Source organism: Homo sapiens, chromosome 6 (genome assembly GCF_000001405.40).
Source record: "Homo sapiens chromosome 6, GRCh38.p14 Primary Assembly".
Taxonomy (NCBI): Eukaryota; Metazoa; Chordata; class Mammalia; order Primates; family Hominidae; genus Homo; species Homo sapiens.
In genome coordinates this window covers 131,925,976-131,952,323 of record NC_000006.12, presented here as the reverse complement: position 1 = coordinate 131,952,323, position 26,348 = coordinate 131,925,976, and the positions used below count along the sequence as shown (strand labels likewise).

General features: G+C 39.9%; 1 protein-coding gene and 1 long non-coding RNA gene across 5 annotated transcripts in view, besides 1 other annotated feature; one reads left to right on the top strand and one right to left on the bottom strand.

Moving 5' to 3' along the window:
* CCN2-AS1 (CCN2 antisense RNA 1) overlaps positions 1–26,348 on the bottom strand; it is a 200,374-nt gene that overhangs the window by 150,002 nt on the left and 24,024 nt on the right. The gene's annotated exons all lie outside the window — the stretch shown is intronic.
* Positions 952–4,148, top strand: CCN2 (cellular communication network factor 2). The gene is made up of 5 exons (NM_001901.4): positions 952–1,217; positions 1,332–1,554; positions 1,781–2,032; positions 2,164–2,375; positions 2,764–4,148. The coding sequence occupies exons 1-5, from the start codon at positions 1,152–1,154 to the stop codon at positions 3,058–3,060; spliced, it is 1,050 nt and encodes a 349-aa protein (NP_001892.2). The 5' UTR covers positions 952–1,151; the 3' UTR covers positions 3,061–4,148.
* Positions 13,941–14,235: a silencer, noted in NCBI's record as "tiled region #2799; HepG2 Repressive DNase matched - State 5:Enh, and K562 Repressive non-DNase unmatched - State 24:Quies". NCBI's record gives its function as "represses a minimal TATA promoter and a strong SV40 promoter by Sharpr-MPRA in HepG2 and K562 cells {active_cell/tissue: HepG2 | K562}" and the evidence as "EXISTENCE:reporter gene assay evidence [ECO:0000049][PMID:27701403]".

Below are 26,348 nucleotides of genomic sequence, written 5' to 3'. Positions count from 1 at the left end.
CATTTGAAGATTATAGGTTTTAATATAAGAAAATGCACTCATTTCTCAAAGACCCTAGTGAAGCTGTGTTTAAATGCTCCTAGGTGAACCCCCTTTGCATCCCAGTGTTCCCACCCTGACACCCAGAGCCCCTACCTACCCAACACAGAATCATTTGCTCTGATAGAACAATGGATCCCTTTTTCTGGAAACATTGATGGCCACTCCTCCCTTGTCCTTGCCTATATAAAACTCCTACATATATTAAGAGAAAACTAAGCAAGAGTTTTGGAAATCTGCCCCAGGAGACTGCATCCTGAGTCACACGCGTCTTTGTTCTCTTTCTTGTCCCAAAACCGTTACCTCAAGTGACAAATGATCAAATCTCAAATATAGAATTCAGGGTTTTACAGGTAGGCATCTTGAGGATTTCAAATGGTTAAAAGCAACTCACTCCTTTTCTACTCTTTGGAGAGTTTCAAGAGCCTATAGCCTCTAAAACGCAAATCATTGCTAAGGGTTGGGGGGGAGAAACCTTTTCGAATTTTTTAGGAATTCCTGCTGTTTGCCTCTTCAGCTACCTACTTCCTAAAAAGGATGTATGTCAGTGGACAGAACAGGGCAAACTTATTCGAAAAAGAAATAAGAAATAATTGCCAGTGTGTTTATAAATGATATGAATCAGGAGTGGTGCGAAGAGGATAGGGAAAAAAAAATTCTATTTGGTGCTGGAAATACTGCGCTTTTTTTTTTCCTTTTTTTTTTTTTCTGTGAGCTGGAGTGTGCCAGCTTTTTCAGACGGAGGAATGCTGAGTGTCAAGGGGTCAGGATCAATCCGGTGTGAGTTGATGAGGCAGGAAGGTGGGGAGGAATGCGAGGAATGTCCCTGTTTGTGTAGGACTCCATTCAGCTCATTGGCGAGCCGCGGCCGCCCGGAGCGTATAAAAGCCTCGGGCCGCCCGCCCCAAACTCACACAACAACTCTTCCCCGCTGAGAGGAGACAGCCAGTGCGACTCCACCCTCCAGCTCGACGGCAGCCGCCCCGGCCGACAGCCCCGAGACGACAGCCCGGCGCGTCCCGGTCCCCACCTCCGACCACCGCCAGCGCTCCAGGCCCCGCCGCTCCCCGCTCGCCGCCACCGCGCCCTCCGCTCCGCCCGCAGTGCCAACCATGACCGCCGCCAGTATGGGCCCCGTCCGCGTCGCCTTCGTGGTCCTCCTCGCCCTCTGCAGCCGGGTAAGCGCCGGGAGCCCCCGCTGCGGCCGGCGGCTGCCAGGGAGGGACTCGGGGCCGGCCGGGGAGGGCGTGCGCGCCGACCGAGCGCCGCTGACCGCCCTGTCCTCCCTGCAGCCGGCCGTCGGCCAGAACTGCAGCGGGCCGTGCCGGTGCCCGGACGAGCCGGCGCCGCGCTGCCCGGCGGGCGTGAGCCTCGTGCTGGACGGCTGCGGCTGCTGCCGCGTCTGCGCCAAGCAGCTGGGCGAGCTGTGCACCGAGCGCGACCCATGCGACCCGCACAAGGGCCTATTCTGTCACTTCGGCTCCCCGGCCAACCGCAAGATCGGCGTGTGCACCGGTAAGACCCGCAGCCCCCACCGCTAGGTGTCCGGCCGCCTCCTCCCTCACGCCCACCCGCCCGCTGGAAAAAGAAACCGCTCGGACTGAGTTTCTTTCTCCAGCTGCTGCCAGCCCGCCCCCTGCAGCCCAGATCCCAACTCGCATCCCTGACGCTCTGGATGTGAGAGTGCCCCAATGCCTGACCTCTGCATCCCCCACCCCTCTCTTCCCTTCCTCTTCTCCAGCCAAAGATGGTGCTCCCTGCATCTTCGGTGGTACGGTGTACCGCAGCGGAGAGTCCTTCCAGAGCAGCTGCAAGTACCAGTGCACGTGCCTGGACGGGGCGGTGGGCTGCATGCCCCTGTGCAGCATGGACGTTCGTCTGCCCAGCCCTGACTGCCCCTTCCCGAGGAGGGTCAAGCTGCCCGGGAAATGCTGCGAGGAGTGGGTGTGTGACGAGCCCAAGGACCAAACCGTGGTTGGGCCTGCCCTCGCGGGTGAGTCGAGTCTTCCTCTAAGTCAGGGTCGTGATTCTCTCCCAGGGAGGGAGTCCTAACTGTGCCGACCGAACGGGGGAAATACCTTATCCAGGCGTTTTACATGGTGTTTGTGTGCTCTGCTCTCGCAGCTTACCGACTGGAAGACACGTTTGGCCCAGACCCAACTATGATTAGAGCCAACTGCCTGGTCCAGACCACAGAGTGGAGCGCCTGTTCCAAGACCTGTGGGATGGGCATCTCCACCCGGGTTACCAATGACAACGCCTCCTGCAGGCTAGAGAAGCAGAGCCGCCTGTGCATGGTCAGGCCTTGCGAAGCTGACCTGGAAGAGAACATTAAGGTACATGTTCTGCTCCTATTAACTATTTTTCACAGGAAAAACAGTGGATAGGACCCAACTTAGGGCTCTTGCCACGCTTGTTAGTATAAGCCCGTTATCTCCAAAACTATCTAACCATTGAGCTGTTTTGCTGGAATGAGAGCTTGTGTAATAGCAACCACCAGTTTTCCACTACGAAATCTTCCACAGGGTTAGTTAATTCAAGACATTCCAAGAGAGGCTCTGGCTATTTTTGGACATAGCAAATGAGACTCAAACTTCCTCCCCTCAAAATATAAACAGAAGTCAGACAACAGAAGACTAAAACACAGAGGGTTGAAGAAAGCCACTCCTCTTGTAGAGTCGCTGATTTTTTTTTTTCCTCTCTCTTTTCCCTTGTCTTCCTTAGAAGGGCAAAAAGTGCATCCGTACTCCCAAAATCTCCAAGCCTATCAAGTTTGAGCTTTCTGGCTGCACCAGCATGAAGACATACCGAGCTAAATTCTGTGGAGTATGTACCGACGGCCGATGCTGCACCCCCCACAGAACCACCACCCTGCCGGTGGAGTTCAAGTGCCCTGACGGCGAGGTCATGAAGAAGAACATGATGTTCATCAAGACCTGTGCCTGCCATTACAACTGTCCCGGAGACAATGACATCTTTGAATCGCTGTACTACAGGAAGATGTACGGAGACATGGCATGAAGCCAGAGAGTGAGAGACATTAACTCATTAGACTGGAACTTGAACTGATTCACATCTCATTTTTCCGTAAAAATGATTTCAGTAGCACAAGTTATTTAAATCTGTTTTTCTAACTGGGGGAAAAGATTCCCACCCAATTCAAAACATTGTGCCATGTCAAACAAATAGTCTATCAACCCCAGACACTGGTTTGAAGAATGTTAAGACTTGACAGTGGAACTACATTAGTACACAGCACCAGAATGTATATTAAGGTGTGGCTTTAGGAGCAGTGGGAGGGTACCAGCAGAAAGGTTAGTATCATCAGATAGCATCTTATACGAGTAATATGCCTGCTATTTGAAGTGTAATTGAGAAGGAAAATTTTAGCGTGCTCACTGACCTGCCTGTAGCCCCAGTGACAGCTAGGATGTGCATTCTCCAGCCATCAAGAGACTGAGTCAAGTTGTTCCTTAAGTCAGAACAGCAGACTCAGCTCTGACATTCTGATTCGAATGACACTGTTCAGGAATCGGAATCCTGTCGATTAGACTGGACAGCTTGTGGCAAGTGAATTTGCCTGTAACAAGCCAGATTTTTTAAAATTTATATTGTAAATATTGTGTGTGTGTGTGTGTGTGTATATATATATATATGTACAGTTATCTAAGTTAATTTAAAGTTGTTTGTGCCTTTTTATTTTTGTTTTTAATGCTTTGATATTTCAATGTTAGCCTCAATTTCTGAACACCATAGGTAGAATGTAAAGCTTGTCTGATCGTTCAAAGCATGAAATGGATACTTATATGGAAATTCTGCTCAGATAGAATGACAGTCCGTCAAAACAGATTGTTTGCAAAGGGGAGGCATCAGTGTCCTTGGCAGGCTGATTTCTAGGTAGGAAATGTGGTAGCCTCACTTTTAATGAACAAATGGCCTTTATTAAAAACTGAGTGACTCTATATAGCTGATCAGTTTTTTCACCTGGAAGCATTTGTTTCTACTTTGATATGACTGTTTTTCGGACAGTTTATTTGTTGAGAGTGTGACCAAAAGTTACATGTTTGCACCTTTCTAGTTGAAAATAAAGTGTATATTTTTTCTATAAAGGGCTTGGTTATTCATTTATCCTTCTAAACATTTCTGAGTTTTCTTGAGCATAAATAGGAAGTTCTTATTAATCATAAGATAATTCACCAATAATTTTCTAAATATCTTTAATTATTCTATACATTAATAAATTGATTATTCCATAGAATTTTTATGTAAACATACTTCACACTGAATCAAGTATCACAGACTTGCAGGCATACACACCACATTGACTATACAGCCATTTTTTTTGTTATCTTCACAGAACTTTATAGACACTTTAAATTCAATTCTCTCTAGATTACTTCAGTCTCCATTAACCCTGTTGTATTACACTTGGTCCTTTTGGCATTTGTACCTCTCTGGCCGTTATAGGTTAGTTTCCAACCCTTCACATCACAAACTAGTCTATGTGCCTTGCACGTGGAAAATGTTTACATTTTTTAAAAATTTTATGCTCTAGGTCTGTTTCTGAACTTCATTACCTTACTGTTAAATCTGAAAATTATGAAATGAAATCCTCATTTAAATGGAGCTATTTCATAAGTCTTGTTTTGTATAATTCCGTTTTTGGTTGCCATGATAACCAATGACAAACAGATGGCATAAATAGAAAAGGGAGGATGAGCAAATCTTCCATTCATTAACATTAATAGAAATTTGTTTTGAAAGTAATTCCTCCATTTGCCCAAGTCTTTAGCTTTATCAGACTTCCAGATTAATGCATCCTACCTTACCAAGTGGTTTATACATGAGAAAATGGAATTGTTCAAGAAGCCTCATGTGGAAACAATATTGTACCTACCCAGGTAGGTTTTTACTAAAGAGTGAACCAAAGTGAATGGTAAACAAAAGCAATACACCAAAGGCAACTAGAATCTTCTCCACATGAGGATAGCTGAGGATTCTAGGGGAAAAAAAAATTGCAGACAGACTAACTTTTCCCAAGGTAATTAGCAACGTTGTAGTGCCAATGTCATTTGGACAGACAAAAATACACCTGAAAATAAAGACTAGCTCTACAAACAACTGTCCACACCACAAACCAAAGGGAAAACTTCCCGTGTTCAGAATGTGAAAATTTATGGTCAAAACTCTGGGCTTTAAGGATACACCCACATCTGTATATAGCAGTGCTGCCAGGAGCAGCACCCCACCTCCCCAAATAAATGCGCATGTACACATACACATAGGCACACACACAGAGTACACTGTTAGTTCACACTTCCTTTCTGTCAATTAATTCCTAACTGCAAAGATGAAGGGCCATGCATGATAAACGAGACTGACTACTGAATTAGAGCATTCTGGAAATATAGAAGCAGCAGGAAAAGCATAGATTTCACATTTTCCAAATACCCACATTAAAGAAAAAAAAAAGAGTCACTAGATTGCAAAACAAAAATCCCACAGGCAATGTTTCTACAAAAATTAGATGGCAATGCACACTTTCACCCCCCAAATATCGGAGGTAGGGGGTGCCAAATCATCAACCACCGTAAGATCTGCACCGTGTCAGCACATGTGTGAGAAAAGCAGAGAAACAACAAGGTATCTGATGCTTCTGAGAACACGAGAGCTCTCAAACAGCCAGCAGGTAGTCACTAGATATATAGAAGGCCAGGCTGACAGCAGCTGTTGAATCTAGTAGGGGTTTGGCCTAGCACTCCAACAAAGCTTACAAGCCAGGGCTGCCTCCCAGGAGAAGATCCTCATACTCCTGGAAGTGGAATCTAAATTGAGCAGGTCACCAGACAGATGTTTCTCAAAAGAAGACACACAAATGGCCAACAAGTATATGAAAAAATGTTCAACATTACTAACCATCAGGGAAATGCAAATCAAAACCACAATGAGCTATCACTTCACACCTGTTAAAATGGCTACTATCAAAAAAACAAAAGATAACAAAACTGTCAGCAAGGATGTGGAGGAAAAAAAACCCTGTGCATTGTTGGCAGGAATGTAAATTAGTACGGCCATTATGAAAAACAGAAAGTTCCATAAAAAATTAAGAATACAATTACTATATGATATAGCAATCCCATTACTGGGTATACACTCAATGAAAAAGAAGTCAGTATGTTGAAAAGATATCTGCACCTCCATGTTCATTGCAGCAGTATCCACAATAGCTAAGTTACAGCATCAACCTAAGTGTCCATCAACAGATGGATGGATAAAGAAGATGAGGTATATATACACAATGGAGTACTATTCATTAAAAAAGAAGGGAATCCTGTCATTTGTGGCAACATGGATGAACCTAGAGTACATTATGTTAAGTGAAATAAGCCAGGTTACAGAAAGAGAAATATAGCACTATCTCACTCATATGTGGAATCTAAAAGGTTGACCTCATAGAAGTAGAGAGTAGAATGATGGTTACTAGGGGATTGGGGTTAGGCAGGAAAGTTGGGGAGATGTTAGTCAAAAAATATAAAATTTCACTTAGGCAATAAGAATAAGTTCAAGAGATCTATTTTACAATGTGATGACTCTAGTTAATGATACATTCTATTCTTGAAAAATGCAAAGAGAATGGTTGTAAAGTGTTCTTAGCACAAAAACGCTAACTCTATGAGGTAATGCATATGTTAATTAGCTAGATTTAGTCATGCCACAATGTAAATATACTTCAAAACATCATGTTTTACATGATAAATTAGGACTTTGTCAATATAAAATAAAACAAAATAAAAATTGAGTGGGTCAGGGACAACAGAGACATTGAAGGATTTGGATTAAAATGAGGAGGGAAACAGAGGTTTAAAATCTCAGAAGGTAAACTGCAATATTTTTAATGCTGCATGAAAACAATAAAAGAGGGAGGTCTGTGAATTTAGAAAATTAAACCAAACCTCCTTCCTGAGCAAACTTTAGTAAAACTAATTTTATATAAATTAAGAAAACAAAATTATTGAAGCCAAATCCCTACAAAGTCACTATATTTAAAAAAAGAAAATAAAGAATAGAATAACTTTTCTGCAGATAATAAAAAATGTGAGAAATACATATCTACAAAATATAGAAAAATTATAACCTACTATTTCAAAAGTTTAAGAAAATGATGTTGGACATAAATGATATTAATAGTAAGGAAATGATGACATAAAATAGCAACATAAATCAGAATTAGCAAAACTTAAAAATATAGTTTCAGAAATCAACAGAGATTTAGAAATAAAGGAACTATATCAAACTACAAGGAGCATAAGAGTGAATATACTCTTACAGATAAGAAAACAAGTTTAAATATAAAAGAAGAAATAAACATATTGCAATAAAAAGTAATAAATATTGTGGACAGGCAAAGAAAATCCAATATGTGGAGGGTAGAAATTCTTAAAGAAGAAAAAAAAATCCTAAAAGCTATAAGTCAAAAAAAACTTTACTAGAATAAAAAAGTATTTGAAAGCACAAGTTGAAAGGGTGTGCCATGTGCCTAAACAAATCAACTAACAGCAAAACACATTCTAGTAAAACTGCTGGAGTTTAAAGAAAAGGGAAAAGCTATTTGAACATGAAGACAAAAAGAACATGAGCCTTATAAATAAAAAGAAAATTAGCTCATCGTTAGATTTTTTTTACAGCAATACTTTATGACAGAAAAAAATGGAATAACTTATTTAAGATACTTAAGGAAAGAAAATGAGAGTCAAGAAACTTTTATCCTCTAAAACTGATTTTCAAGAATGACTTGATTCTTGAAATCAAACCTTGAATGACTAGGTTCATCCCTGTTGTCACAAATGACAGGATTCCCTTCTTTTTTAATGAATAGTACTCCATTGTGTATATATACCTCATCTTCTTTACCCATCCATCTGTTGATGGACACTTAGGTTGATTCCATAACTTAGCTATCGTGGATAGTGCTGCAATGAACAGGAAGGACACAGACAAACTGTTAAAAACACACAAGAACTCAGGGCATATTTTTCCTGTGAGCCCTTGCTGAGGAACCTACTAGCAAACAAGCTCAAACAACACAAATGTCTGAGAGATACTAACCTAAGGACTGTAGTGAGAATTGAATATAGCTCACCTTTAGAACTAAGACTGAATGAAGGTTAAAAAGGAGAAAGTACTGTATACAGTGTAAAAAGTAGAACATTTCTGCCTGTTTATTTGCATATATTTATTGGCATATATATTTATTTGCATATATATTAGATAATAAGGAAGTTAACAAATGTCATTAAGATCAAATCAAAAGGATTAGGGAAACAAATTGAAGCCAGGCACAAAAGCATACAGAGTAGGGATATCTGCTCTGACACCATAGAGTACAACCATACAAAGTGGAAGAGAGAATGGAGATAGCATATGCCTTCCCCGCCAAAAACAATTTAACTGCTTTTAGTGATAGTGGTGGTATTAATATTGTTATTCTGGGAATGTTAGGTGTGGAATGTGTAAGAAAGCAAATTAGCCATCATGAATGTTCTAACTCTATCCCCAGCATTCATGAGTACTGAAATTCTCAGTGAGAAAGTCAGAAATTAGAGATATAATGGAAAACTGCTAAGGAAAGTTCTGTAGTCCAGAATTTGAACTGGAAATATAAGCATAAATTCGTGAGGTATTTTGTCTTTTAAAACACACACACACACACACACACACACAATTTTTCCCCCTACATCTGCCTACATAAGAGGCTTAGTTAGAATGACAACTCAAGACCAGTGAATATCACTAGGCCCAGATTTTACACTTGAAATATTACTTTCTACTAAAGAATATTAGGACTTCTTGGAGAATGAGTGATTCCAAGTCTGGGGCAAGAAATGTGTAAGATAAATTCATTTATGTTTAGAACATCTTTTCACATTAGATAATAAGGAAGTTAACAGATGCCATTAAGATCATATAAAAAAAACTCTGGAGACAAATTGAAGAGACTCCAACTAAAGATGACACAATTGAGTTTTAATAAGAATGAGAAAGGCAGTACATTGGGCCTATTGACTATGCTTACATTCATTAATTTATAATGATCGTTAAAGAAGAACAACTGGCCAGGTGTGGTGGCTCACACCTGTAATCCCAGCACTTTGGGAGGCCGAGGTGGGTGGATCACCTGAGGTCAGGAGTTCGAGACCAGCCTGGCCAACATGGCAAAACCCCGTCTCTACTAAAAATACAAAAATTAGCCGGGCGTGGTGGTGCGTACCTGTAGTCCCAGCTACTTGGGAGACTGAGGCACGAGAATCGCTTAAACCCGGGAGGCAGAGGTTGCAGTGAGCCAAGATCACGCCACTGCACTCCAGCCTGGGGGACAGAGAAAGACTCCATCTCAAAAATAATAATAACAATGAATAAAAAATTAAAAAGAAGAACTAATTGGTAATTTTCTGGGAGTGATAAGGAACTAATTCAGTATATACAAAATATAATTTTTTCTGATGACTTCAGTATCGTTTTGTGTGTGTGTGTATTACACATCTCTCAGTGCCTCAGAAGACAGGCTGAATCTTTACCAACCCCCAACATCACCCAAAGATGGCTTTTTTAAAAAAAATAAATCTTTTAGTCAATTGTGCTCATCCATGATGGTTACTTTAAAGTAATTTTCTATTTCTTTTAATAATTTTTAAACTTTTTCAAATTTTTTGAAATGAACATACATTATAAGAAAGAGATTTTTTAAAAAACAAATTTCCATCTCATTAAAAAAACAGCAAGGAATATGTCAAAAAGTGTTCAAGTATTTTATGATTTTCATTTAGATGAAACAATACACAATACATAAATAAGTAAATAACTTAGCTATTCAAACCACTATATCTTAATTAGCCACGTGCCTAGGAGTACATGCAACACACATCGAATCTCTAGGGAATGCCCATATTCATTGTATATTCAGTGTTGTCTTTTACTCTATTTCTCTATACCATAAATAAAATGGTGAACGATTTTCCTCTGTATAACTATTCCTTACCTCATGAATCATACTAATTATATATAGACTGTTTCTAAGACTAAGAACAAAATAAACAAAGTAAAATATATTCTTAAAATACTGTCAGATTCCAAACCTAAATATAGGATTCAAAGCAATAGACATGTAGACCCATCTTCTATATTACATGTTTAAAAGAGAGTCAAAGAAGAGTTAGTAAGAAATGAGGAGCACCATTGATTAATTAGAATTTGCATCGCAAGAATATAAAACTTTTACATTAGGTCAACAAATTCTAACACAATTTTTGTCAGCAAGTTAACATGTATAATTTAGATAACTACAATAACTTTTAGTCTTTGGTATATATTCAAGAGAAGTGAGCAAAAGACATACAAAATTCTCAAAGCAGTTTCATCCATCCAAAAACTGAAAGCAAAAATCTGAATTCTGTAAACAGAAAAATTGATAGAGTATAGAATATTTATATAATGGAACAATATACATCAATTAAAAAGTGCATTTCCCCAAAACATGTTTCTTTGCCATATTTTGAAATGGCCCCGCAAAGTTGTTCTTTGTGAGGGAAAATTTGCACCTCTAAAGAATCTCTATTAATATAGATAGATCTTTTTCTTCCAGACTCTCCCAATCGTAAAGAGATGAACTGAGATCTGAATAGGAAACATTTGTCACTTCTTGCCTCTACAGGCAGCCACTATAAGACCTCAGAAGAACTTGGGTTTCCACAATGTTTATCTTAACCTGAACATTCCCTTTCTATCTATCCCAGGCCTTTTTTTTTTTTTTTTTTTTTTGATACAAAGTCTCTCTCTGTCGCCCAGGCCGGAGTGCAGTGGCGTGATCTCGACTCACTGCAACCTCTGCCTCCCGGGTTCAAGTGATTCTCCTGCCTCAGCCTCCCGAGTAGCTGGGATTACAGGCATGCACTACCACACTAGGCTGATTTTTTGTATTTTTAATAGAGACGGGGTTTCACCATGTTGCCCAGGCTGGTCTTGAACTTCTGAGCTCAGGTGATCCGCCCGCCTCGGCCTCCCAAAGTGCTGGGATTATAGGCGTGAGCCACTGCGCCCAGCCTCTATCCCACGTTTTGAGACAAACTCAACCAATTGTCAACCAGAAAATGTTTAAATTCACCTATAACCTGGAAGCCTCCCCTTCCCCCACCACCCGCTCCACATCTGGACCAAACCAATGTATTTCTTAAACGGATGTGATTGATGTCTCATGCTGCTCTAAAATGTATAAAACCAAGCTGCCCCCAGACCACCTTGGGCACAAGTTCTCAGGACCTCTTGAGGGCTGTGTCATGGGCCATGGTCACTCATATTTGGCTCAGAATAAATCTCTTATATATAAAAAAGAAAAGCACTATTATGGTGAGTGAAAGAAGTCAGGCACAAAAGCATACACACTGCATAATGTCATCTATATGAAATTGAAGAGGAAGCAAAACTAAATAGTGATAAAGGCAGGGTAGTGGTTACTTTGGAGGTGGGGGCATGAGAGAACTTGGCACATATTGTTAAATCTCTATTATATTTCAATTAAAAAGTTTAAAAATTAAATATATTCAAGCACTTTTTTTTTTTTTACTTTAAGTTCTGGGATACATGTGCAGAATGTGCAGATTTGTTACATAGGTATACACGTGCCATGGTGGTTTGCTGCACCTATCAACCCGTCATCTAGATTTTAACTCTGCATACATTAGGTATTTGTCCTAATGTTTTCCCTTTCCTTGGCCCCCACCCCCCAACAGGCCCCCATGTGTGATGTTCCCCTCCCTGTGTCCATGTGTTCTCATTGTTCAACTCCCACTTATGAGTGAGAATATGCGGTGTTTGGTTTTCTGTTCCTGGGTTAGTTTGCTAAGAATGATGGCTTTCAGCTTCATCTATGTCCCTCCAAAGGACATGAACTCATTCTTTTTTATGGATGCATAGTATTCCATGATGTATATGTGCCACATTTTCTTTAGCACTTTTTAAAAAGAATTTTGCCAAAACATTAAAAGTGATTATCTAGGAGTTATCTTTTTCATCTTTATTATATTCCATACTTTCCATATCATTTACAAAGAGTACTTATTCCTTGCAATTAGAAAAAAAAACTTATTTTTAAATATTTAAGATGAGTTCCTGAAAAATAACACATAATGTTCATAACACGTTTCATTGCATAATTAAATTTCTACAGCACCATATAAATGTGAGATTGGAAGGACTATTTAATGAGGATAGAAACTCAAAGATAGAAGTACCTATAAGAAGAAATTCCCTCAAAGTGTACAAATGTCTTAGGGAGTCACTGAATTTCCCTTTTAACATCCAATGTGTACTCATGTCAATTTTTATTTAAATCTGAGAGGATGGCTTGCTGTCTTTCAACATTCACATTTTCATTAACATATCAGCAGGCTTATTCATTAAGTCATAGTTCCAAAATAAAACTAATGAATAGAAACTGTTGAAACTATATATATGTATATATATAGTTATATATATATACAACTATATATATAAAACTATATATAGTTATATATGTATATATATATTTTATATACATATATAACTATATATATTTTTTATATACATATATATAACTATATATATATATATAAAACGGGACTCAATCAACATCATTTAACTATAGAGCATGACAAGATTTTAAGGTTTCTGGAATCCCATGAGGAAAATAACATCTCACTATGTATGTTCCACTTCAGCAATAAGGGTTATCAACACATTACATCATGTGTGTGTGCACTACAGCAGGATACTGACAGGCAAATAAATAGAAAATACCACTTTTATGAAAAACAAATATAGCTCTTATTTACTCTGCCTTTACCTAGTTAAAAGAAAAATACAAAAACTAATAAAACCAAAAACTAGAGACACTAGTTCATGAAATATACTGGAACAGGGCAGGAGAAGCCAAAAGAAGGGAAGAGATAACACTTTCAGTCATTTTTACTCACATGTGAATAAATATTTTAAAGCAAATTCAGCTTCTTTTTTTAAGTTACTCTGCGTAGACTCACTTTCATACAAGAAACTAGGTTTGATGAATGTCACTTAGGGCATGTAGGTCCCTTCCCTGCAAAAGCTGGGCTATAAATAAATACTGTAGTAATTACATTTTTGGTCCAAGATACAATAAAGATAAAGAGAATGATAATAATAAGTCCCATGAATCTAACTGATTGAGGACCATTTTGTATTCATTGTCTTGTATTGTCAAATAACCTGCAGTCTATCATCATCTTTATAAAAACAATACACAAAAACATGTAAAGTGTTCCAATATAACTGCTCCTGTGCTCCATGAAAAAGTTGGAATTTAGAAAATACAGACATGTAACACAAACCATATGTAATCCAAGAGTCAAAAAAGCAATTTGAATCAGGAAATTTTGATCAACATTTTGAACTTAAAAATCTTCATTTTTAACTGTTTTCCATTTTTCAATCCAAGTATATACTTGGGATGGAAGCCCTTTAAAATAGAAACACTTAGCATTAAAAATGAAAAGATAAACTGCCATTCTTTTAGTCTTTTTAAAAATGTTCTTTTATGTCTTTCCAGAGGGATTTATTTTTAAATGAGAATAGGCCCAACTCCTTATTTTTCTCCCCAATCTGAATTCCTCCCTAGCTAAATTCTTTCTGATCTGTGTCATCCTTGTTCAGTATTTGTTATACCCTCTCTAGGGAGGTATCATCAAACTCTAAAAATGACATTAAATCCAAGGGCTTAGGAAATATTTTCTACAACATAAGCCTGGTTTGTATGTGATTTTTTTTGCATTTTATTTGTTTGTTTTTAACCTTTAACCGTAATTTGGGCCGATGACTCCCAGTGTGAAGATTATCTTATGTCACTCATAATTTTAAACTCAGGATTATTAGGCAAGCTTGCGTACTTATGTTAAGGAGCCCTGGGAGGTCTGGGCTATTTGCCAGGACTCTGTTTACATAGATGCCTCAATATCAATAGCCGGATGTGGTTAGAGAAAGGAGGCTTGTGGAGCATTAGCCAATGCCATGCTTCCCTTGCTTTTGCTATTTGGGGGAAGAAGTTATGTGCTTTCTAGTGTGACCTTTGGAAGACAACTAATAGGGAGGACAGGAGCTCTGCCTGAGCACTGGGAATGTACATTCCTGTGTTTGGCCTTGGTGAACAGCAAAAGAAAGTGGGAAAGACAACTAGGAATGGGACCCTGGATGATATGACACATACTCGTAGTTCACTCATAACATTTCTAGTTGGCTTTCATCCTTTTTAGTTTGAGTCTGTCAATTTTCTATCTGTGTTATTAGTCTTTCTGTTGTACTGTCCCTAACATGGTAGTTTAGTGACCACCCATATGCAGAAGTTGCTCAGCTAACCGAATTACATGGAGGACCCCCTTGATGAGAAAACACTCACCAATATTTCAAGCCTGAAGTCCAGAACACCTGTCAATGGGACTCTTCTACCGGAGGTATGAATAGTAGCCGATGGAGATAATAAAGGACTTTGAAAAAACAGTGTGGCATTCTAACTGAACCCCAGGGCTTCGTAAGGAGCCTATTGAGACCTGGCTTGGGGGTGCTGCTAGAAATCAAATGCTCCCTCTAGCTATTGGAGAAATCCAGACGTTTTGTAGAGAAGATGTTTGGGATTGAGGTCCTTTAAAGTTGAACATTTTAGGATTCACTGAATGAGATTCTAGGGGAATGGAAGTCATTAATCACTTGGAGCAGCATTCACCAGCAGGAAGATCTGCAGGGAGGTGCTGCTTGTGGTAAGGACCCAGGCCAATAGGAGTGGCTGCTAGAAGCTGCTGCTATGGAAACCCATGCTAATTACTGTTGGAAGGAGCAACCAATGGAACCTGCCATGGCCAGGAGCAACAGCCAAGAGGCTCTACTGGGAGATGTTTGAAAGCACCATTGGGTGTATCTAAAAGAGCTCGGTCAGGGGATCATCTGCTTGAAGAATCTTTAGGGTGGAGGGTGTTGTTTTGGTTCTGTTGAAACATGCTTAGGTGAATCATCTTTGATTTTGGAGAAAAAGAAAAAGACTATCGGTCTTATTACCCTCCACACTAAGACAGCATCATAATTTCCCTCAAAACCAGCTTCTCTGTGTGATTCTGCATTTCTATTGCCTGTAGTACTAATAATCTACTTGTTACCCAGATAGAAACACCCCATTGTCAATGAATCCTCCATTTCCCTTTTTCAGTTTTAATAAAAGTTAGATTTTATTTCAGTACAAATCTATCTTGAGGAAAATATAAATTATAAAAGACCATAGACATTCTTTCAATAAAGGCAATTAACTGATTAATTCAAACACCTGTGGTATTGGGTTGCCATTAGTAGTACCAGTAGTCAAATTTTTTAAAAGCCAGATTAAAATAGAGATTTTATTCAAAAAGGCCACAGTTGACCCTTGAAGAACATGGGTTTGAACTGCACAAATCCACTTATACATGAATTTTTTTCAATAATAGTTACGCCAAGGGACAGCAAGACCAACTCCTACTCTTTTCTCTTCTCCTCAGCCTGCCCATCATGAAGACAATGAGGATAAAGACCTTTCTGATGATCTATTCCCATTTAATAAGTAATAAATATATTTTCTCTTCCATATAATGTTCTTAATGGCATTTTTTCATTTTATTTTCTCTTACTTTACTATAAGAATTCAGTGTCAAATATATATAACACACAAATATGTGTTAATCTATTGTTTGTGTTATTGGTAAAGCTTCCAGTCAACAGTCGGCTAGTAGTAGTTAAGTTTATGGTGAGTCAAAAATTTTACGTGAATTTTTAACTGCACAAGGGGTCAGCACCCCTAACCCCTGTGTTTTTCAAGGACCAACTGCATTGCAATATGGGGAAGAGAACTTTGAAATAGGGAGAATACTCTATTGCAGAAGTGGCAAAGTCTAAAGGTCGAACAGAAAAAGACCTTTCTTTTATAAGGAGAAGTAAATAGGGCTAGCAGGAAGTTTGTGAAAGAGTGGGGCAAGCGAATGGAGGTAGGCAGATGGCATGAGAGTGGCTTTGACAGTAAATTTTTATTCTCTTTGGTCACTGGATTCTTGGAGTAAGTCATTGAGAAGATATTCTGTAACTTAGCACTTGCTTAAAAGCTTGGGAATAAGATAAAGTTCTGGGACCTGTAGGGAGAAGCCTGACTAGCATTTGATCAAGCCAAGTCAATGGGTAAGTAATGAGTAATTGTGAGGGCTTGGGCATAGCACAGCTCATGGTTTTAATGCATGTATAGATATACACAGACATAAATATAGAATGGGTTTATATATGCACTTAGCTGTATGTGTATTTTCTGTCAACTGAGCTGTCATCATCCTAGGTGCTGTGACACCCCAGAACAATTAACATATGTAGAACCCAAATTTTAATAATGTCCAATAAAAGGAACTAGGGCTTTTTGGAAAAATGGCTGATTTCATGGCTCAGGCAGAGAAAATGCAAGATAAACCTGCAAAAACTTGTGGCACCAGCAAGTAAGAAATTGCTGAAAAAAATGTTAGGTTCATACTGAAAAGACAACTTGAAGGAGCTCGCAATAATTAAACCTGAGACAATTTAAGCAAAAAATATATATAATAGTAATGAGTCACAAGTATCAGAATAACTCCATTTCTTTTTCACCAACACTCAAATATTTGAACTTCAATTTAGAGATTTGTTTATATAAAAAGTGGTCCCAGATACAGTCATGGGCCCCCTGTCCCTCCACCCACACATGTTTTGGGGAGTTTTATCTCCCAAAATATTGGAGAAAAATTTCCTTGCTCTTCCAGCAGTGGGAGGAGGAAAGTAACCATTTTGAAATACATCTGGGTACTCTTCTTAGCAGGGCCTACCCTCGGGAGAAAGTATTTTACTAGAGTTTAACCTATGCGTGTTTTGTCAGAGTCTAATCTGTTTAACATGGGTTTCTTACAGACAATAATTAGTTGGGTCTTGATTTTTTGTTTGTTTGTTTTTCTTTGAGACAGGTTCTCCCTATGTTGTACAGGCTGGTCATGAACTCCTAGGCTTTATATCCTCCGCACACAGTATCCCAGGTAGCTGGGGTTACACAAGTGCACCACCACGGCTGGTGTGTTTTTAATATACTCTGACAAGCTCTGTCTTTTAATTGGCATATTTAGACCACTGACATCTACAGTGATTATTGATATAGTTGGCTTAACATCTACCATATTTGTTACTGTTTTCTATGTGTTGCTCTTGTTCTTTGTTTCTTCTTGTGTTCCACAGGGCTTTTGTCTTTTGTGGCATTAACTGAGCATTTTACATGATTCCATTTTCTCTCCTTTCTTAGCATATCAATTCTACTTTTTTAAAAACTTTTTTAACGGTTGCTCTAGAATTTGCAATACACATTTACAACAAACCCAAGTTCACTTTCTTTCTTTTTTTTTTTTTTCTTGAGACAGAATCTCGCTCTGTCACCCAGGCTGGAGTGCAGTGGTGCATTCTCGGCTCACTGCAACCTCTGCCTCCCGCGTTCAAGCAATTCTCCTGCCTCAGCCTCCTGAGTAGCTGGGACTACAGGCACCTGCCACCACACCCTGCTCATTTTTGTATTTTTAGTAGAGACAGGGTTTCACCATATTGGCCAGGCTGGTCTCGAGCTCCTGACCTTGTGATGCACCCACTTCAGCCTCCCAAAGTGCTGGGATTACAGGCTTGAGCCACTGCACCTGGCCCAGCCAGGTTCACTTTCATATAACACTGTACAGCTTCATAGATAGTACAAGTACTTTGCAATAACAAGTAATCCAAATTCCTCCCTCCTGTCCCTTGTATCATTGTTGTCATTCATTTCACTTATACATAAGCATGCATATATATATATATATTTATATGTATACACACAGAGATATACATAAACGTACATAACTGCTCTAAAATATAGCGTTTATTAGTTAAAAAGTAGTCAAGTAGTCTCAGGCTGTAGTACCAACAAAGCAACTGGTGGGAGGAAATGCAAATCATCTCTGGAGGAACACACCCTCATCTCATATCCCACCTCCTTCCTCTTGTACATCTAGTTCCTAAGGGTTGAAGGGAGCTCCTGGAGGGATGCAGAAGCAGGTTTCTCTTACATATCCGGTCACATGTAGCTGGGAAGGAAGGCATCCCTGGTTTCACTTGGGCTGATGCGGCTGCTGCTAACGGCTCCTACCAATGGGACTGTGAAAATGTTGGGCCTAGTTTCCTTGGGTTGGTGATCAACTTTCTTCCTGCCTCTTCAATAATTGGGAAACCCTTCCCACAGGGACAGTCATGCCTCTCTTTAGCCCCACAATCTATCCAGACAGCCAAGTGTGGTTTCCTAAGGGGGGCTGATCACTGGCTAGTCCTATCACTCCTGCCCTTCTTCTAACCCCTCATATGCTTCAGTTAGCAGTGGATACCGAAGTCTTCTTTCCTTTTTTCTCAGAGAGCTTCCTGAAAGTGAGACTGAGTTGGGCTTTCCCCATCTTATTCCCAGGCATGAGGTCCCTTCTTGCCCTGATGGTGGAAGTTACCACTGCAGGCCATCCTATCTTCAGAAATGTCTAGACAAGAAGCAATTGCCAATCTCTATTCACATATTCACATAACTCCAAACTCAGAAAATCTAAATCACCTCCAACTTTCCATCTCCATAATTCTCATTACAGCCCTCACTATTTTTGACGGCAATGTGTGTATGAGTCGGCTCATTAGTTTTCCTGTTCCACCCTCATTCTCCTTCTTAATTACTGATGCCTGATTAATATCTCTGGTCCCATAAGTTTGTTGCTCAAAAAAAAAATTAAATGGCTTCTTAACTATTATCAAGATAAATACCGACTTTTCTGTATGGTATCGAAGATTTTCTGCAAAATAGCCTCGAAGGAACGACAAGAATCTCAAATTACTCTTGGACATACCTTTTATGCAAAAACCAAGCTGGACTTACTCATATTTCCTAAATAGTTTCCACATGTAACTTCACTTAATCTAGTCTCTCTGCCTGAAAAATTCTTCCCTTGATCTTCTCATAATGCATGTGTGTATATGTATATATATAAGCACATATATATTTATATCTAAGTCAACTTCACTCATCATTTAAAGCCCTTCCCAGAAGTCACTTTTTGAATGATTTTTTAATACTACCCTGAATCCCATAACCTCCTAGCAGCCCTCTTTCCTTTCAGATGCCCTAACAAATACTGTTCATAACTTTATTTTATCATTTATATCAGTTTTGCCCATATTCTAGTTTTTTGCTGTCCATAGTAGCTGATAGACAAATGTGGCTATTACACTTAAATGAATTAAAATTAAGTACAGTGTAAAAGTCAGCCTCTCTGTCACAGTAGCAATATTTCAAACACTCAGTAGTGACATGCGGCTAGTGGCTTCCATACTAGACAGCACAGATATAGAACATTTCCATCATCACCAAAAGTGACATTTGAAAGCACTGTTCTGGTTGTTTATTGAAGTTACTTTATTCCTCCTCCTTTCAGCTCCAGTTAAAAAGGAGACAGTGTTCAGAGATGAGGCTGGGAGGGTTGAGGAAGTCTAGGTCATAGGGACCTTGTAAACTCTGCTGAGGTTTAGTTTTAAACATAAGGAAGCTGTGCGTGGTGGCTCACGCCTGTAATCCCAGCACTTTGGGAGGCCAAGGAGGGCAGATCACCTGAGCTCAGGAGTTTGAGACCAGCCTGGCTGACATGGTAAAACCCCCTCTCTACTAAAAATACAAAAATTAGCCAGGTGTGGAGATGCATGCCTGTAGTCCCAGCTACTAGGGAGGCTGAGGTAGAAGAACCGCTTGAACCTGGGAGGCAGAGGTTGCAGTGAGCCGAAATCATGCCACTGCACTCCAGTCTGGGTGACAGAGGAAGACTCCATCTCAATAAATAAATAAATAGCATAATGAGAGGTCACGGGAGGATTTAGATGTTAGAAAGATCATTCTGGCTGCTGAATTGAGAAAGGACAGTAGAGGAGCAAGAGGGAGGAGGGAGACTGGGGAGGCTACTGGAGAAGTCCAGGAGAGGCGCATGGTGACACGGGTGGGAGCTGTGTTGGTGGACGTAGATGGAGTGGTCAGATTCAGTGCATATTCTGCACATGGGACTTGCTGATAGGTTGGCTGAGGGATATTAACAGGAAAATGAGTATATCACCCCAGCTTTTTGCCTAAATGAATGGACAAACTGTGGTGCTGTTATCTGGCATTGGAAAGACTAGGGAAGAAGTAGATTAGTTTTTCTGAGGAGAGAGGTTTTATATTTTAGCATGTGAAAGTGTTATATCTAGAAGCAAATTATTTGATTCTGGGGCTGCTACTGTCTATAGGCTTGCTACCATGAAGGCTGTCACCTTTCCTCCTGGATCCCAAGCATTTGCAAAAGCCACCACCTGGACTCTCAGTAGACCATTTTAATTTGAGGTCAGGAGAACTTTGGAAGAAAAAGAGCCTCCTAAAGTCATCTGTTATGACTCTTATTACAAAGAGAGAGAAAAGCTAAAGACCCAGAGAAGCAGGGATATCTATATTATTCTATGCATGTGGTGGACATCTGTTGCTTATTTTTATAGCCTGACTTCCAGTCTGATAACTGTACTTAATCTCGCTCTAGTGCAGGGGTTGGCAAACTCTGGCCTGTCATCTGAATCTGGCCTGCTCTCTGATTTTGTAAACAAAGTTTTCTTGGTACACGGTCATGCCCTTTTTTAAAAAAATGTAGTATCCATGGCTGCTTTTGAGCTACAGTGGCAGAATTGAGTGACAGACTGTATAGCCCACAAAGGCTAAAAATATTTACTATGGGGCCCTTTTCAAGAAAAAAAATTGCTGATCTTTGCTCTGGTGGATTATTCCCCCAAGTTTCAGCCCATGTACTTTGGGTAAAGCTGACCCCACTCATAGCCTCTCAGGCTTGCCTGGGCTAAATCAGTCTGCACATTGACTCCCACTGTCATGAGTGATAGGTTCAGAGGTAACTGTTAGCCTCTGCTTGTCTAAACCATGAAAGCTCAAGAGTTTTATTGGGACTTCTGTGACAAAGATTGTAACTTTTTGTGCTGGTTCTGAGTCCAGAAAAATCTAGCTCTGGAAGTGCCAATAGCCACCTTGGAACAGCTTATCTGAGGCTGAAGGTAACACAAAGGAGAAAGAAGAGTTATACAGAGATACAGAAAGTACTAAATCCTGGTGATGTGTCTTCAGCTTCTTTATCCTTCTCTGTCACAGTAGCAATAATTCAAGCACTCAGTAGTGACATGTGGCTAGTGGCTTCCATACTAGACAGCACAAATATAGAACATTCCCAACACCAAAAGTGAGATTTGAAAGCACTGTTCTGGTTGTTTATTATCACATTTTTTTTTTTTTTTTTTTGAGACAGAGTCTAGCTCTGTTGCTCAGGCTGGAGTACAGTGGCATGATCTCGGCTCACTGCAACTTCTGCCTCCCGGGTTCAAGCAATTCTCATGCCTCAGCCTCCCCAGCAGCTAGGATTACAGGCGCCCGCCACCACGCCCAAATAATTTTTGTATTTTTAGTAGAGACGGGGTTTCACCATGTTGGCCAGGCTGATCTTGAACTCCTGAGGTCAAATGATCAGCCCACCTTGGCATCCCAAAGTGCTGTGATCACAGGCGTGAGCCACTACGTCTGGCCTGTTCTGGTTGTTTATTGAAATTACTTTATGCCTCCTCCACATGGGATAATATGGAAATGTTCAGAATAGTGCAATAATCCCGAGCTTCCAAAGAAAGACACTCTCTCTGTTTAAAGGTTCATTGCCTGGTCAGACGGTTGCGCTAAGAACACTTAAAAGTAGCATTCAATCAATCAATCAATCAGTCAATCAAACCAGAAACAACAACAGCAACAACAAAATCTAAGCAGTTTCTACTTTTCTATAACTAATAAAAGGTTATGTTCTTCTGAGTCAAGTTACTTCATTTAAGCTCAGAGAAGAAAGAACAGATTCACACCATATGGAAATAAGCAGTGTGTTAAATGAAGCCGTTGGGAACTGAATTGATTTATTTAATGCTGATTTTCCATCAAGTGCAGAAAGTACCTTGCAAAGAATTCCTAACACTAGCAAAATTGGCAACAAGAATATTTCACACTTGTAATTGAAAAATGCAAATTGCCTACCTCAGTAAATCCCAGGAGGTGTCATTAGGGACTAATAAGTAACATTATTGGACACTCAAATACCTCTATAACTTCACTCCCAGCATTCTGACATGGAAACTTGTGACATCGTACAAGGATTAACTTTATGTTAACTCTCTAATTCTGTTAAAGTGCTAGTTACTGTAAGGTATGCACAACACTATTCTAGGAGAGTGGAACATACTGGTTTTGGTTTTTGTTTTTTTTAACGGATTAATGCAAAAAGCCCCATTTTTCAAATTGAATCAACAGAAGAATTACTAGGGAGCTTTCCTCCTGAACAACTCTATTAATCAGTGTTCCTGTAGAAACAAACAGCCCCCAAATCACAGTGGCTTGTAACAACAAATGTTTATTTTTTTGCACAATTACATGTTGGCAGTTGTACTTCTGTTGCTGTGGCTTTGCTCTTTGCACCTTCTCATTCCAGGAACCAAGCTAAAAGAGTAGCCCCTACTGGGGACATATCATCATTCTTGAGGCAGAGGGAAGAAAGTAAGAGGCAGAGCCAAATCACACAACTCCCCTTCAAGCTGCTGCTTGGCTGTGGCATTATACACTTCCAATGGCTGAAGCAAGTTACACGGCCAACCTGACCTGGTGCAGGAAGTGTATGCTGCCAAAGGGGGGTGCTCTACAAGGAACATGGCAAGGGGTGAAAATGCATGATTATCTCACTGGGCCGAGAATGAATCCTTGGAACAGCAATGCAATCTACCACAAGATCAAATTTGTACAACCACCTTAAGTGTATCCTTCCCCCAAGAGACTATACCAAATTTCATCTTTTTAAATTTTAAATTGACACAGTGTTTTGCTATGCTGCCCAGGCTGATCTCAAACACCTGGGCTCAAGTAATCTTCCTGCCTTGGCCTCCCAGATTGCTGGATTACAAGGGTGAGCCACTGCTCCTGGCCACACCAAATTTTATAAGGATAAGTATTTGATCCTATGTTCAATTCTACTCTTATGTAGAATTGAACAGCCTATTCTTCCACCGTGTACAAAGACCTAACCCATGTTCTCTTTTTTCCAGACTATATGACCAACCCACTAGGTAGCATCATCTGTAATCCTCCCAGGAATATCTGCATATTCAAATAAATGAAAGAATGGAAAGGCTAATGAAGCTGCCAAAATTCTTCTCTTTTTTTTAGATGGAATTTTGCTCTTGTCCCCAGGCGCTGGAGTGCAATGGCACCATCTCGGCTCACTGCAACCTCTGCCTCCCAGGCTCAAGCGATTCTCCTGCCTCAGCATCCTGAGTACCTGGGATTACAGGCATGCACCACGCCCGGCTAGTTTTTGTATTTTTAGTAGAGACAGGGTTTCACCATGTTGGCCAGGCTGGTCTCAAACTCCAGACCTCAAGTGATTTGTCAGCCTTGGCCTCCCAAATTGCTAGGATTACAGGAGTGAGCCACCGCACCCGGCACTGCCAAAATTCTTACTGCTAGAAATTCATATGTTCCGCTGACTCTTTTTGACACACCATGCTAGCTACAATGTGCAATTGTCCTGTCTGGGAAATGGAAAGGCCAGGTATCGTCTGGGTGGAAAGGGGTTTTCAGTGTCATTTTACGGCCTTAATAAGCTCTGAGAATTCTTACTATGGAAGTTCCTCTCTACAGCATATTAAAAAATCAAAACAAAACCCTATCCCACATTAAATATAATTCAGGACTGTAATTTTTTTGAAAGGATGTTTATAATTTTGCTTTTGAAATTATTTGCCTCCAAGTGGCATTTGACTTATGATTCGCTATGATTTGTTAGCTATCATCACCATGTATACTTCAGAATTCTTTCAAAGTAAGAAATCCCAACTTCCAAAATTATTTTCGAATGTAATGAAATTAGTATGCATCCTAAATTTTACAATTAATACAGCTGACATAGTGTTATAGGAGCTTCACTCCTGAGGCCAGCGAGACCACGAACCCACCGGGAGGAATGAACAACTCCAGAGGGGAGGAACGAACAACTCCAGATGCTCCGCCTTGAGAGCTGTAACACAGCCAGGTGCGGTGGCTCACGCCTGTAATCCCAGCACTTTGGGAGGCCAAGGCGGGCGGATCACCAGGTCAGGAGATAGAGACCATCCTGGCTAACACCCCGTCTCTACTAAAAATACAAAAAAATTAGCCAGGCATGGTGGCGGTCACCTGTAATCCCAGCTACTAGGGAGGCTGAGGCAGGAGAACGGCCTCAGCTCAGGAGGCGGAGCTTGCGGTGAGCCGAGATCGCGCCACTGCACTCCAGCCTGGGTGACAGAGCGAGACAGAGTCTCAAAAAAAAAAAAAAAAAAAAAAGAGCTGTAACACTCACCGCGAAGGTCTGCAGCTTCACTCCTGAAGCCAGCAAGACCACGAACCCACCACAAGGAAGAAACTCCTAAGACGTCCGAACATCAGAAGGAACAAACTCTGGACACACCATATTTAAGAATTGTAACACTCACCGCGAGGGTCCGCGGCTTCCTTCTTGAAGTCAGTGAGACCAAGAACCCACCAATTCCAGACACAGCAGGACAAGCTGGCAGGAACCGGAAAAGCCATCCTCTAGGTCTATACGTGAAAATGCAATTTGAGGTGCTACGGAAATCCTTTACCACTGCACTATGCAGAGCCGTCGCCACTAGCCACACATTGCTACTGAGCGTTTGAAATGTGTCTAGTGCAACTAAGGAACTAACTTTTAAACTTTATTTAATTTGAATTTATTTAACTTTAAAAAGCAATATTCTGTTCAGTTATTGAAAAAGTTTAATGTATGACTAGAATAATTCAAGTATATGACTCTGTTTTCAGTCATAAATTTTATAAAATCTCTACACAAATCAGATATTTTCAATGGAAATTTAGTGTCCAAGTTGAGATGTGCTTTCAAAGACTAAGTATAAAAAAGTGTAAAATATATCAATTTTATAATGATTATACATTGAAATAACAACATTGTATCGGGCTTAAATAAAATATATCACTTTTACTATGTGGCATTAACATATTATTAATATAGTACTAAATATATTAATAGATTAATTTAATATATTTAAATATAAATATACTAAATATTTGTATATTTTATGTAAAATATATAACTATATAAATGTATAAAGTAATATATTTAAGAATATATTAATGTATCATTGAAACTAATTTTACCTGTTTCTTTTTATTTTTTTAAATGGGACTCCTGAAAAATTTTCAATTATATATATGACTCATGTATTTCTTCTTTTTTTTTTTTTTTTTTAAGACAGAGTTTTGTTCTTGCTGCCCAGACTGGAGTACAACGGTGTGATATCGGCTCACCACAACCTCCACCTCCCGGGTTCAAGCCATTCTCCTGCCTCAGCCTCCTGAGTAGCTGGGATTACAGGTGCCTGCCACCACACCCAGCTAATTTATTTTGTGTTTTTAGTAGAGATGGAGTTTCACCATGTTGGCCAGGCTGGTCTTGAACTCTTGACCTCAGGTGATCTGCCTGTCTTGGCCTCCCCAAGTGCTGGGATTACAGGCATGAGCCACCACGCCCAGCCTGACTCATGCATTCCTATTGAACAGTACTACACTATTACATGTTGGTGTGTATATCCATTTAAATTGTTCAATAAATATAATTTTAATGGTTAAATACTGTACAAACTATTTGATAACCATTTTTTCCACTTCTCAATATGTCAAGAACATCTTGCCATAGCAATAGATAATCATCTACAACCTTGCAAAGACTAAAATGAATGAGAGATCCTTATTTGCCAGCATGAACTTACTGCTGAGCAAATTATTTGTGTTGGACCTCCATTCCTTAATTAGAACACCTCCTAAAATACTGAGGGCAGAGCAGAGAGGTAGCAGGTAGGGGAGCCCTGGACCATGCAATGAGATGTGTTTCCAAGAATCTAAGTACAGACTTGGATGAAAGGAGTATTTAAGAGCTAAACTTTTCATATTACATCTGCCCTAGTTGTAGTAACAATAAGAGACAATCATCTGTCAATAGCTTTTGTGGGCTATTCTGTCATTCAGGCTTATGCTCAAGCAATAATACCATTTTTAGGAGGTG